At 37.9% G+C, this 15,346-nt stretch overlaps 1 protein-coding gene across 8 annotated transcripts in view; it reads right to left on the reverse strand.

The window, feature by feature from the left end:
- The window catches only part of OTUD4 (OTU deubiquitinase 4), a 46,940-nt gene that overhangs the window by 19,454 nt on the left and 12,140 nt on the right, over positions 1 to 15,346 (reverse strand). For 4 of the 8 annotated variants that reach the window (NM_001366057.1, XM_011532040.3, NM_001102653.1 and 1 more), the window contains exons 4-10: positions 12,048 to 12,094; positions 11,051 to 11,123; positions 9,537 to 9,618; positions 6,400 to 6,532; positions 2,833 to 2,893; positions 2,466 to 2,583; positions 2,308 to 2,372 (exon numbers count right to left, since the gene is read on the reverse strand). In NM_001366057.1, the coding sequence (NP_001352986.1) occupies positions 2,308 to 2,372; positions 2,466 to 2,583; positions 2,833 to 2,893; positions 6,400 to 6,532; positions 9,537 to 9,618; positions 11,051 to 11,123; positions 12,048 to 12,094 (579 nt within the window). Of the gene's footprint in view, positions 1 to 2,307; positions 2,373 to 2,465; positions 2,584 to 2,832; positions 2,894 to 6,033; positions 6,533 to 9,536; positions 9,619 to 11,050; positions 11,124 to 12,047; positions 12,095 to 15,346 lie in introns of those variants that run through there. The other 4 variants (XM_047415838.1, XM_011532041.3, NM_001366058.1 and 1 more) reach the window with 2 other exon arrangements.

The following is a 15,346-nucleotide window of genomic DNA, read 5'->3' on the forward strand; positions in this document are numbered from 1 at the left end:
TCTACAATCAAATCCATCTCCTTAACCTCCCAGACCTCCATATCTCCTACCTAAAAGAAAGAAAACCTTTTCTTCTTTGTCCTTCTAAATTTTTTTCTAACACTTATTTTCTAAATTGTTCAAAAAGTAGGAGCACAATATGTTAAGGCTCTAAACAAAACAGGCAGCAGGTCCTGGTTCTGAAGGCAGGGCTGTGGCCCCACATACCCCAGGCTTCCAGGTCTGGCTCTTCCACTTGCCAGCAATATGACCTTGGGCAAGTTATTTTTCTCTCCCTTCAGTTTCCTCATAATGCAAAATGGAGCTAATAATAGTACCTACGTCACAGAACTCATGGAGATGGAATGAGGGTGCACAGGATACACATAAAGAATACCAACTTGCACACAGCAACCACTCTACAAGTGAGAGCAACTATTATTACAATTATTATCTTCCCATTTTTCCTATATTAAAAATGTGCAACTGTGATTTTTATCCCTAAAAATAGATCCATTAACTGTTCTCTAGCATACAATTAATATTACGCAGTTGTAAATCCATGATAAAAGAGTAAATAAGCCTAAGTTTTCTTCCTATAAACTGCCCACACTGAAATTGTGCACCTGCCAAGTACAACATACAGGACAATGCTTTAAGCAACCTCCCACTTTTAGCAGTAAATCAAAGTCCTCAAGCTGGTATTTCATTCTTCATCAATGACAATAAAGACATTTTTCCTTCAAAAGTTTCACAATAAAAAAATTCTTTTCTGAACTTAGTTATCAAAAGTTTAAACTACATCTTACACACTTGAGTAAACAAATCACCTTAGAGTCATCTCAGTTTCTTAAAATTTTAATGAGATGTTATCCAAAAGAATGGTCAAGTAGTACAGATAGAAATAAAATACTCTCAATAGGAAAAAAATGAAAGCATGTGCTTTACCATCTACTTTATCAAAAGCACCTACTTTACCAAAAGCAGTTTCAACCTCAAAGGAAATATGCTTGACTTAAAATAAGTAACACGACTTTAGTGATACAGCATAAGCCATCTTCTCTTTTGAGAAGGGTGGGGAGAGAGACCTTTAAACCCTGGATTTAATCTCATTTGTTCTCTTTCAAGTTTTCCCAATCAATGTAGTAAAAACTTCCACAATTCCCTTCTACAATTAGAGCAGATTTATGACAATCCCATAAGGCAGTACCTGAATGAATCATGTTCTCTTCTCCCTCACCTTTAAATACCCCAGAACCAGAACTATTGAAGGTTCTTAAAATAAAATCCTGGCTAATCAGATGACTTCACATAAACCAATTTATCATAAAGTAAATGAGTGTTTCCTCCATAAGTCAAAAAGAAATGTTTGCCAGTGGCTGTTTTAAAGTAGTTTTTTTAAAAGGCAACACTTTTTGATGGAAATAATTTCTGATGAGAATTAACTTCCATATAACATTTTTTGTGTATGTGGGGGTTTTGTTTTTGTTTTTGAAATAGCAGTATTTTTCCACAAATGAAGAACAAAAAACAAGAAAAGAGACCTTGTAAATTATCTTACCTAGGGTTTCTTCTGCCTAAGCATTACTGACACTTTGGACTAGGTATTTTTTGTTAGAGGGAGATGAGGGAGGCTGTCCTGTCCATTGTAGAATGTTTGGCCACAGCTTTGGCCTCTACCCACTAGATGTCAGTAGCACCCTCCCAGTTGTGAGAATAAAAAATGTCTCCAGACACTGCTGAATGTTCAATGGTGGTGGTGGGGGGCGGGGGGCAGAGTGAGGGTTAACCACTAGTTTAAGAAACACTGATTTTAATCCAACTTTTTCCTTTAACAATCAGCTACTCAAATCCAGGGCAGCTGCTTATTCAAATTAATTGGCAAAAACTCCTCTGTGGCTCACTTTCTTTCCTCAGTCCAACAGTAAATATTGTGTACGTATCAACATCTCCCAAGATGATTTTCATAAACAAAACTAAATGACCTATAAAGTCAATTTTGAATCAATTTCAGTCCATTTTAACAAAAATACCTCAATATCTGAAATGTTATCATTACTTCTTTGAACCAAGTAATACCAAAGGCTGAATTGTTTTTAAAGATCATGTGATGGGATGCCACGGTTTTAGATACATACAATTTTAGCAACGTATTCAAATGAGTCAAAAAGCTAAATACTTGTAAACTATTAAAATGTATATACATGATAAATATATTCTGAAATCCCAAATTAACAACACATTCACACCTCAGCTGTTTTCTCTGTTTGTATTAGAAAAAGCAAAGTTTCAAGTAAAATCTCTTCTTCTTTTACATAAGTCACTTACTTGACATTTGTCTCCAACTTCATATTGTAAGCCAGCAGCAATGGAATAATCACGTTTTTGCTGAGCTGTTAAAAAAAAAAAGGTCAGTATAATATAAAGTTGACTTATTTTCAAGTGCTACAAAGCAAATTTATGGAAAATGCAGATTTTTAACTCACCTTGTTTAGACTTCAGCCAAATTTCATATTCCACATTTCTATAGACTGCAGGATTGAGTGACTTAAGAACCTTTCTAGACAAAGGCAGGCTAGTAGAGTTCCCATTGTTCTTCAGCTGCTAAACAAAGTCAGGAAGTCCAATCAACACATAAGTGCTTTTAAAACATTTTTGTTTGAGATACACGTAAAACTAAAGTCAAATGAAGAAAAGAAACTTCAAAAAATTAGGAAGCCACCAAATCAATTTCTGAGTAGATGATCCTGACTTGACTGAAATGTACCAGAAAAAAGAAAAAAATTAAGATTTTAATGTACATGCTTTCTTATATTAAAGAACTACATTTAAAACCACTTTTAAAAAAAATACCTCATTGCCTGACAAAGGTTTAAATCCATTCACATCAGCAGCAGCAGCAGCAGTCTTACTCCTACAAAGAAAGATAACCATAATTGGGGCAGAAAAAGGTATTTGCACGTAATTACCTTCTAACCTCATCTAAACGTCTTCAAAGTCAGAACTATGCTCCAAAAAGAGCTATATTCCAGTGAGCTCATACAAGTTTTGGTACAAGTATATCTATATATAAAAGGGTATATGTATGTAAATGTGTGTATATAAGACAGAAGTCAAAGACAACAGTAATTCTAACTGGCTCAGTAATAAGAAAACATAAACTGTGAAATTTGGGTGGGTAGAATAATTGAATTTACAAAAGAATGTAAAAACTTCCTTTTAATATACACATGAGGCCCCGTTTAAAAACACAATCCATTTACAACAAAAGTATCCATAGGCAGATTCGACAACCCTTTTATTAAAAATACTCTACATCAGCCGGCCATGGTGGCTCACGCCTGTAATCCCAGGACTTTGGGAGGCACAGGCAGGCAGATCACCTGAGTTTGAGAGTTCAAGACCAGCCTGACCAACATGGAGAAACCCCATCTCTACTAAAAATACAAAATTAGCTGGGCGTAGTGGCACATGGCTGTAATCCTAGCTACTCGGGAGGCTGAGGCAGGAGAATCGCTTGAACCCGGGAGGCGGAGGTTGCAGTGAGCTGTGATCACACCACTGCACTCCAGCCTGGGCAGCAAGAGCGAAACTCCGTCTCAAAAAAAAAAAAAATACTCTACGTCAAATAATGTTCAGCACAATGAAAGCACCATCATTAGCCCTTTAAATTCACTGTCACATACACACCTACACATTCATATACTCAATAAATAACTTGATTGTCTACTATGTGCCATGCAGTGTACACAGCTGACCCTTGAACAACATAGGTTTGAACTGTGCAGGTCCACTTACACACAGGTTTTTTGTTTCAACCAAAAGCAGATCAAAAATACAGTATTCTCGGGATGTGACACCCAAGTATACAGAGGGCCAGCTTTTCATATAAACAGATTCACAGGGCCCGTGGTAGGACTTGAATATGTGCAGATTGTGGTATACTCAAGAGTCCCAAATCTCCTGGTAAACACCAAGGGATGACTGTATTATTAGGTGCTAGGGTCTAGCATTTAAGAGAACAAAAACTCCGCCTACATGAAATGTACAATCTGGTGACAACAGATAAAAACTAAATAAGTAATAAGTATGTTAAATGCTGATAACTGCTATAAAGAAAAAAAAATAAGTAGGCAAAAAATGAGTGTTGAGATGTAGGCTGATATAGTTTAGCCTTGTGTCCCCACCCAAAATCTCATCTTGAATTGTAATACTCCCCAAGTATCAAGGGCAAGACCAGGTGGAGATAATTGAATCATGTGGGTGGTTTCCCCCATGCTGTTCTCATGATAGTGAGTTCTCACAAGATCTGATGGTCTTACAAAAAAGGCCGCAGAGGCTCACGCCTGTAATCCCAACACTTTGGGAGGCCGAGGCGGGTGGATCGCCTGAGTTCAGGAGTTCGAGACCAGCCTGACCAATATAAACCCCATCTCTACTAAAAATACAAAATTAGCCAGGCGTGGTGGCACATGCCTGTAATCCTAGCTACTCGGGAGGCTGAGGCAGGAAAATCGCTTGAACCCGCGAGGCGGAGGTTGCAGTGAGCCAAGATCACACGATTGCACTCCAGCCTGGGCAACAAGAGCAAAACTCCGTCTCAAAAAAAAAAAAAAAAAAAAAAAGAAATTTTAATAATGCAATAGAAAGGTAATCCACATTCCAAGGACAACAACAGTGCAGTATAAAAAGAAAAACACAATAGTGAACACATCTTCTTACACACCTGCTCTACCTTCTCTGGTAAACTTCTCCAGCTTACTAGCCCCTACTCTATACTTCACCTGCCAACTGCCATACAAGACCCAGTTGTTTCTAACACCATTAACAGCAACAGCAACCAAAGGGCATGTTCTAAAAGTCCCCCAACCCCAATCACAGGTAATAAGTTGTAACAAGCTAGTCATTCTCTCTTCCAATGTCCCCCATGCTCAATGACATGGTGCTCAGAGAGAACCGTAAAGCAAAATTTCTACCTAGGCAAAGTCAGTCTATTCTAGAATTAAATTTACAATGGCAGACACTGATTCAAGTTAGAAAGAAATGGTGGCCAAATTTTCAATCAGGATCAGAAAATTTTAATTCAATAAATACCTGGAATTACAAATCAAGAGATATACAGGCTGGGCAGTGGCTCACGCCTGTAATCCCAGCACTTTGGGAGGCCAAGGCGGGTGATCACAAGGTCAGGAGATCGAGACCATCCTGGCTAACATGGTGAAACCCCATCTCTACTAAAAGTACAAAAAATTAGCCAGGCTTGGTGGCGGGCGCCTGTAGTCCCAGCTACTTGGGAGGCTGAGGCAGGAGAATGGCGTGAACCCAGAAGGCAGAGCTTGCAGTAAGCCGAGATCGCACCACTGCACTCCAGCCTGAGCAACAGTGCAAGACTCCGATTCAAAAACAAAACAAAACAAAACAAAAAAAAACAAAAAAAAAACAAATCAAGAGATATACATATATTTTTAAAGTTATTTTTATAATAAAGAATTAGATATCCTAAGCCTTAAGTTCCATTTCTATCTCTAGTGTCACAGAGTGTAACATACCAAGTACAATCCTTTCATATTCTCATACAACAATGTATACTTTTAGCTTCAATAAGAATACCATAGGTTTGGTTCTTATAAAAGACAGAGTAAACATCCTAATATAACTGATAACTAATATACTGGATACCGTATCTAGGACCTAGGCTATGTACTTTATATGCTATCTCAGATTGAATCTCATGAATTGTCCCTTTTGAGGAAATACTGATTATATCCTAATTTTAGAGTATTGGAATTAAGGCTTCTTAGAGAATTTAAGTAACCTGCCCCAAGTCAAGTTAGCAGGAAGCCATGATTGAAACCAGAGCCCAACCTCTTAAACACTATCTTGTACGTCTTGTGTGAAAAAGAAAGCTAAGCCTCAGAGATTCTACGTTCAGACATATTTACTCACAACCTACACAGAGGCATTATCCAGGTGTTCACATACTTATAACCCCAACTTGGAACTTTCATTATCTAAAAAGAGGCACTACCTAAGAAAGAAAACAATAAAAGAAAGTGAAGGAAATCCAAACGGCCATTTTATTTCATTACTGGGTATGTGAACAATTGACAAGTTAACTTTAAAATTTTACAATACACACACATATAGGTAGGACCAAATTTATTCTACAAATATGCATCTAGATTGCAGACGTAAATTCTCATCAACCAAAAACACCAACTTTCAAAACAAACAGTCCCATAATAGAAATTAGGTAAAATTAGTGACAGGGATAAAGAAACTTCAGCAGACTGCTGTATTTTATGAATACCATTAATACCTCAATATATGTTATAGAAAGACATTTACTGAAATGTAAAGACATTTACTTAACTTTCCTTGTATGGCACTAAGAAAGGTATTTTAGGATTTCATTCTTACTTGCAACTGTCATCCTCTGAATCTGATATTTCACTGTTATCTTCATCAGCTACTTCCAACGTGTCTAGTTCCATCACAATTTTACTAACATCAGTTTTAAATACCTTCTCATACAGCAATTCATAAAGGAGAGCTGCAATTAATGACAGACAGATTTTCCAACATTAACTACAGGCAGTTTTTTAAAAACAGGAACAGACCATCACATTGTAACTTTCTATTGCTCAGGCTTTTAAAATCCTGACTAGATATCTGCTAAACCTTATGGTCAATAACATAATTTTATCAGAAAGTTACCTAGGGTACAGCTAAAATTTCTGTAAGTGCAGTTAAGTAGTTTAAAATAATCGCAAAAGACAGTGCCATTTTTAAAACTAACACCATCACAAAAAGGTATCACAACTGTGAAACAAGTAGGACAACAGGAAAAGCCAAAACACACACACTGAGCAATTATTACTACTACATTCCACACACTGTGCAGCTTTATATATCCTTACGTTTAATTCCAGCACAGTGAAGCATTATTCTGATTCTACAGATAAGGAAACTGAGACTTAGGGATGTCATACAACATGCCCAATCTTAAGAGACTTAGATTAAAAACATTAAGAAGCTTTAAGATTGCTAGAAAGAGGAATATAGTATAGTACATACTAGCTGACAAGTCAGAAGACTTGGATGCTAGTCTAAGCTTTCCCACTAATTGTAACCTTGGACGAGCACTTCTCAGGTTGCTATAGAAAAAGAGGATGTTTGACTACATAACCTAGCTCCAGATTTTAATTTTACATAAGGAACTAAAAAAGCAGCTGTTACAAAATATATTCTCAGCAGCCACTGAAAGAAAGAAGCATATTTAGACAACTTTGCTGCTTTAAATAAAGTAAAATTTTAAAACTCCAGTCTTGAATATAGGGAAATATATTTTAACAAAAATTCAAAAATACATGGATTTTAGGACTCTGATTTGGTTTTATAACAATGAGCTTTAAGAAAACAATGTACTAAGAATTCATCAACAATGGGGCCAGGTGTGGAGGCTCACACCTGTAATCCCAACACTTTGGGAGACCAAGGCGGGCAGATCACTGGAGGTCAGGAGTTCAAGACCAGCCTGGCCAACATGGTGAAACCCTGTCTCTACTAAAAATACACAAATTACCCAGGTGTGGTGGTGCACACCTGTAATTCCAGCTACGCAGGAGGCCGAGGCAGCAGAATCGCTTGAACCCAGAAGCCAGTGGTTGCAGTGAACTGAGATCATGCCACTGCACTCCAGCCTGGGTGACAGAGCGAGACCCTGTCTTAAAAAACAGCAAAGGCCGGACAGGATAGCGCTCATGCCTGTAATTCCAGCACTTTGGGAGGCTGAGGTAGGCGGATCAGTTGAGGTCAGGGGTTTAAGACCAGCCTGGTCAAGATGGTGAAACCCCATCTCTACTAAAAATACAAAAATTAGCCAGACTTGGTGGCGGGCATCTGTAATCCAAGCTACTCGGGAGGCTGAGGCAGGAGAATAGCTTAAACCCAGGAGGCGGAAGTTGCAGTGAGCCAAGATTGTGCCACTGCACTCCAGCCTAGGCGAGAGAGCAACACTCCACCTCAAAACAACAACAACAACAACAACAACAACAACAAACACTGGGTGTCCACCTCTAAATGAGTTCCCACAGAGACTTCCTTCTTATAGACCATCTTTCTTCCAGGTTCCAGTAACAGGAGTTGCAGCCCTCGTATCACCCAAACCACAGGCACTTAGAATCACAGGAAAGACAAGCTCTAGGAGCTATCTTTCCCAAAGCTGAGGTGTCCAGATTGTGACTAGCTAGGAGGGAGAAGACACAGCCCAGGGTACAGAGGCTACACTTCGATATCTTACAATGGATTAATTATTTAAAATAGTGTATTGCACATATCTTTACTGGTTACCACTAGCTTAAGAGCAGAGGAAAAAGCTGTCACAAGCCCAGCACCACTGCTTTATGACTGATCTGTACTTTGCCAGAACGGATGATATAAAAGAAACTGGTAGGAAGGGTCACTGCTCTTCTACAGCAGGAATTCTCACACAGAAGAAGGGCAAAGGGAATTCATATGCCCAGGAAACATTTGGCAAAATCTGGAAATATTATTGGTTGTCACAAAGGGAGAGAGAGTGTGTTACTGCCATCCACTAGGTAGAAGCCAAGGATGCTACTTAACATTCTGAAGTTCACAAGAGAGCCTACAACAGAGGAGTATCTGGCCGAAAATATCAATAGTTCCAAGGTTCAAAATGCTGCCCCGGAGCCAAATACAATCAAATGTTTGATTTGCTCAGTCATTTGGATTTTCAAGCTATACACTAACAGTTTTTAAAATGCATATAAATCTTTATTACCAAAATGATTGCAGGAAAAAAAAGTTGGTATTTACAAGTCAAACTCTAGCCACAAGCTCCCTTTCCTCCAATTTCTCTCTGTTTTGTTTTGCTTTGCTTCACTTTGAAACAAGGTCTCACTCTGCTGCCCAAGCTGGAGTGTAGTGGCACAATAATAGCTCACTGCAGCCTTGACTTCCTGGGCTCAAGTGATCCTCCCACCTCAGCCTCCCAAGTAGTTGGGACCACAGGCATGCGCCACCATGCCCAGCTACCTTTCCTCCTACTGCAACAAGTTTTTATTATAATATTAATACTCTTGGTAATTTAAGGTTCTTGGACATATCTTTTATATTATAACAGAATAGAATTATTTGCTCTGATTTGTTTACATTAAGACTGTATAAGGCCGGGCACGGTAGCTCACGCCTGTAATCCCAGCACTTTGGGAGGTCGAGGCGGGCGGATCACGAGGTCAGGAGATCGAGACCACCCTGGCTAACACGGTGAAACCTAGTCTCTATTAAAAATACAAAAAAATTAGCCAGGCGTTGTGGCGGGCGCCCGTAGTCCCAGCTACTCGGGAGGCTGAGGCAGGAGTGGCATGAACCCCGGAGGCAGAGCTTGCAGTGAGCGGAGATCACGCCACTGCACTCCAGCCTGGGAGACAGAGCGAGACTCCGTCTCAAAAAAAAACAAAAAACAAAACAAAAAACAAAAAGACTGTATAAGTTTAGGAATATAATTTCCCATATAAACACAAGGTGATACTTACACTGACACATAGCAGAGCTTTCTTTATACTTTATGGGATACACAATATCATAATGATTTCCATTTGAAAAACACAGTAACACCTGAAAGGGAAAAATAAAAGAAACATTTCAGCCCCTCATACATATAACATTTACATAGCAATGTATGTCTCCAATGCCTCTGAATTACTAGATCATTTCCAAACAGACAGTGAGTATTTTAGGAGTAACCTAAAGCTTCAGTGTTGTCAAGCTACAGTACATCCATATGCTGAAATGTTATATAAACATTAAATCAAAAAATTCAAAATGATTTCTGGAAATGTTTATAGGATCACAAAAAAATAAAAATAATATATGAAAACATGCTTTCAACTACTTAAAGAACAAGACACTGTAAGAAAATATTTCAAAACCTTATTAATGCTAACCTCTAACATGCAAAATTTTCTAACAAGCAAAATCAAAGTTAAATTTCTTTGTATAAGTGATTTTCTAAATCATCACTTATACAAAGAAAAATGCACATTGATTTTGTTTAGAATATAACAATATATTTCAAAACTTGTTTTGAAAAAGCCAGATCCCTTAGAAAGTCCCAGAAACCCCAAAACCCTTATAACAGTAGTATTTCACTCAATTCCCCTCTAACTTAACACCACCAGCATGGTGGAACACAAGTCACTTCAATTTGGCCATCATGACTCCAAAATAGCTACTTAAGACAAAAATTCTCTTATAATAAGTCAGTTGATCTTTCTTTCTAGGCTTCACAAAATTTTTCAGTTGCTTCTGCTTTATGACAGATAATGCAACGACACCCTTGTGAGTAAAATTTACACTAGGGAAATATTTATGATTACTAAAGTATTCCTGGATGTAATGGCAGAACCTATTTTCACAAGTTATTTTTTTTTACTAATGTTTATATTGATAAAAAACTATAATAGTCTAGTTCATCATATGTATTAATGTCTCATAATTCAGTGTTTCTACTAAAATGTTATAAAAGGGTTAAATACAGTAACTTGTGGGAGCAAAAAAAATACAAAATAATATGACTAAGTGACAATTAATAGGAACCTTTTTTTTTTTTTTTTTTTTAAGACGGAGGTTCACTCTTGATCCCCGGGCTGAAGTGCAATGGTGTGATCTCGGCTCACTGCAACCTCCACCTCCCAGGTTCAAGCGATTCTCCTGCCTCAGCCTCCCTAGTAGCTGGGATTACAGGGATGTGCCACCACGCCCGGCTAATTTTGTATTTTTTCAGTAGAGACAGGGTTTCTCCATGTTGGTCAGGCTGGTCTCAAATTCCTGACCTCAAGTGATCTGCCTGCCTTGGCCTCCCAAAGTGCTGGGATTACAGGCATGAGCCACCGCACCCGGCTATAGGAACTTTTAAGAAATCAGAATACCATAACCTTAATACAGAAATATTTCAAAAAATCATTTAAAATTATAGCTTATGAGGTCATGGTAGCAACTAAGCGGTTCTTTTACTTAAATACTTTAGAACACTTTGAAAAATTCTTACCTTTTCAGGAAAATTATTTTCTGTTACTTGTGAAGGAGAAACATTTGGTTCCCGATAAATTATAAAATCTTTCCTGAAAATAACAATTAGAAATTATTTATAATGGACTATACTTCATGAATTTGAATTTAATCATTCATTCATTCATCAAGGGCCTAATACGTGCCAGGCACTGTCCCAACCACTGGAGATACAAAAGACAATAATGAGATAACTAAGTTGTAAAATATCTATATAAAAGTAACCTTTTTAACATGTAAAATTTCAAATATTATTTGTATATATATTAAATTTCAGATATAATTCTAAAGGGACACTTCAAAAATCAAAGAAATTTTGAAGATGAAATTTAAACAACATTCTGAAAAGAAAAAACAAAGTATTTACCTGCTCCTCTACTAGGCAAAAGTAGCAAAATTGAATACAGGTTGAGCATCCCAAATCTAAAAAGCCAAAATCCCAAATGTTCCAAAATCTAAAACTTTTTGAGCACCAACATGACACTCAAAGGAAATGCTCATTGGAGCATTTTGGATTTCAGATTTTCAAATTAGGGATGCTCAACTGGGTAAGCATAATGTAAATATTCCAAAATTTAAAAAAAAAATGAAATCCAAAAACTTCTGGACTCAATCATTTCAGATAAGGAATACCCAATTTGTAACATGGTATTTTAGTACGGTTCTAGTGGCCATTCAATACCACTGACCCTGAGAAAGTAGAAAATCATTTCTCTACAAAGTTGATAAGTGATATCTTACAGAACATAGACCGGAAAAATTTCTGTACCCTTTTCCAAAGTATTTTGAGAATTAAAATTTCTAAACACTGACATATCTAAATGTCAAAATCTAATTGATGCAATTAAAAAAAACTTAGAAAAGATACTTCATAACTAAAGTATAAAAGAGCTTTGCTATTTTAACATTTTTAATATAATGGAATATAATTTCCCACTGGTTTCATTTTCTTTTACTTATGTTATTACAGTGTTTACCTGTACATAAGAGAAAGGGCACTTATTTCCACTTGTCCTACCCATTCCTGTATTGAAGAAAAAAAGGTGGCATGTAAGTGTCTCACACTTTTTAGATTCCACTTTATATTTCTATACATACCTTCATACAGCATACGTAATGAGTTCTTAAAGCTCATTATTATTAGTAGTATTGTGAATATTATAAAAACGTTTATATAAAACAGACCACAATATGTGGTAAAATGCAGTCCAAGTCTCTCCCACACATACACAAAAAAATACTAACAGGGTGAAATGACAGTTCCTATTGGTGTGGCAAGACCACAGCATGGCATCTGTTAAGTTGAGACTTTTTTTTTTTTGAGATGGAGTTTCGCTCTTGTTGCTCAGGCTGGAGTGCAGCGGCGTGATCTCGGCTCACCGCAACCTCTGCCTCCGAGGTTCAAGCGATTCTCCCGCCTCAGCCTCCCAAGTAGCTGGGATTACAGGCATGTGCCACCATGCCCAGCTAATTTTGTATTTTTAGTAGAGACGGGGTTTCTCTATGTTGGTCAGGCTGGTCTCAACTACTGACCTCAGGTGATCCACCCGCCTCAGTCTCCCAAAGTGCTGGGATTACAAGCGTGAGCCACTGCGCCTGGCCCAAGTTGAGAACGTATTGAAGGCAAGGGCTATCCTCCAGCCTAGCCCTCAGGAGAGCGCCTGGCACATGGTATAAGCTCGGGAAATGAAATACTGAATAGAGGCGGCTGGGCGCAGTGGCTCATGCCTGTAATCCCAATACTTTGGCAGGCCAAGGAGGGCGGATCACCTGAGGTCGGGAGTTCGAGACCAGTCTGACCAACATGGAGAAACCCCCTCTCTACTAAAAATACAAACTTAGCCGGGTGTGGTGGCCCATGCCTATAGTCCTAGCTACTCAAGAGGCTGAGGCAGGAGAATCGCTTGAACCCAGGAAGCAGAGGTTGCAGTGAGCCAAGATTGCACCATTGCACTCCAGCCTGGGCAACAAGAGCAAAACTCGGTCTCAAAAAAAAAAAAAGAAAGAAAGAAATATTGAATAGAAGCAGAAAATTGGGAAGTATAGAAAAGGGCAGAAGATCTCTTCTCTTCAGGGTAAATGAAGGTACAAAAGAGAGCAGTGTCCTAGCAATTGTTTTGAAAACAAGAGAAATTCTACACTCCTTAGAAAAGTCACTTAAAGCCTTTCTGAAAGGCAAATGGCCAGTATGTTTCAAAATTTAAAATGTCCCATATACCCTGTGACCCAGCAATTCAACTTCTATACGTCTATCATAAAGAAATATTTCACATCTACAAAAGTGTATGTAAAATAATGATGTCACTGGGAGTTATTTGTAACAGTGTTTAAAAAAAAAAAAAAGTCCCTAAGATTCCTACAGAATAGTAAAATAATTCATGTTTCAGGCAGGATGTGGTGGCTCACGCCTGTAATCCCAACACTTTGGGAGGCCGAGACAGGCAGATCACGAGGTTGGGAGTTCAAGACCAGCCTGACCAACACAGTGAAACCCCATCTCTACTAAAAATACAAAACATTAGTCGGGCCTGGTGGCACATGCCTATAATCCCAGCTACTCGGGGGCTGAGGGAGGAGAACCACTTGAAGCTGGGAGGCAGCAGTCGAGTAAGCCGAGATCGCGCTGCTGCACTCCAGCCTGGGAGACAAGAGCGAAACTATGTCTCATAAAAAATAATTCATGTTTCAGCCACACTATAGAATATCATGCATTCATTCAAAAGAATGAGGTATAACCACATGAAATGACCTAGAAAAATCACTCAAGATTAAGTTTTAAAAGTAAATCATGGGAAAATAATACTATTTGTGAAAAACAAAAAGGCATATATATTGGTACATGTGCACACATAGAAAGGGGATGGGGAGGATACATCCTAAATTGACAATAGAGACAGGGAAGTTAACATGAGGAAAAATGAAGAATTTTCACCCTTTATTCTATAATACATCTATATTTTAAAACTTTTACCGTAAGAATATTTTCCTATAGTACTGTGAAGTCGGTAAAGACTTAATACATTAAGTCACCAAAAACAATGAGCTTTGGTAAATGAATGCTGCCACTTATTCCTTGAAAGGAAAGAAAAACTGAAATAAGGAAAATATTTTAAACAATGTTTTGATCTTAGACCAGCACAATCTTTTCCCTCAGAGACTTTTCAATAGTTCTTAAAAGTTAGCTCTGATTTTCAAAATGAAATAGGTGCCATATATTAAAATAGATCTCTTAAAATAAGCCTCAGCCTAACAATCATGGCTTCTCACAAACTGCTAGAAGTGATACCCTCTGGTGTAGAGGAAACCGTTCACTGATATGAGTCTGTTTAGATCAAACACACGAGCTACATTTCTAATTTTTATACAAGAAGTATTACATCACTTTAAAAAATGAAAAATTCTGCCAGGCACGGTGGCTCACGCCTGTAATCCCAGCACTTTGGGAGGCCAAGGAGGGTGGATTACCTGAGGTCAGGAGTTCAGGACCACCCTGGCCAACATGGTGAAACCCCATCTCTACTAAAAAATACAAAAATTGGCCAGGCGTGGTGGTGGGTGCCTGTAATCCCAGCTACTCAGGAGGCTGAGACAGGAGAATTGCTTGAACCCAGGAAGCAGAGGTTGCAGTGAGCTGAGATTACACCATTGCACTCCAGCCTGCGTATTAAGAGTGAAACTCCATCTCTAAAAAAAATTAAAAATGAAAAATTCTATCCATCTCAACAAAATGCTACATGAGAATAATGTACTTTTTGATACGTAACCTTCAGAATAAATTCTTTTGTAGTCTGGTTAGGTAAACAATGGATATCCTAAAATCTTCCCCAAGCAGTGTCAGTATTAAATTATTTAAAAAAAAAATCGATATTATACTACCACTGTCTTCTAACACTGTAATTTTACTTAATCAGCATTTTTTATGATGTGTGACATATATCTTTCTTGTAAAAAGAATTCCTTCAAAATATGTTTTAACTAATTAACCATACTATAACAAAATTACATAACTTAAATGTTCTTAGTCATCAGTATTAAGCTCTTGTTCCTCAAAAGACATTGTTAAGAAAATGAAAAGCCAAGCTTGTGATCCCAACTATTCTGGAGGCTGAGGCAGGGGAATCACTTGAACTCGGGAGGCAGAGGTTTCAGTGAGCTGAGATCATGCCACTGCACTCCAGCCTGGGCAACAGAGCAAAACTCTGCCTCAAAAAAAAATAATAAATAAATAAAATAAAAAATTAAAAAAAAAAAAAAAGAAAATGGAAAGCCAAAATAC

This window comes from Homo sapiens, chromosome 4 (genome assembly GCF_000001405.40).
Source record: "Homo sapiens chromosome 4, GRCh38.p14 Primary Assembly".
Taxonomy (NCBI): Eukaryota; Metazoa; Chordata; class Mammalia; order Primates; family Hominidae; genus Homo; species Homo sapiens.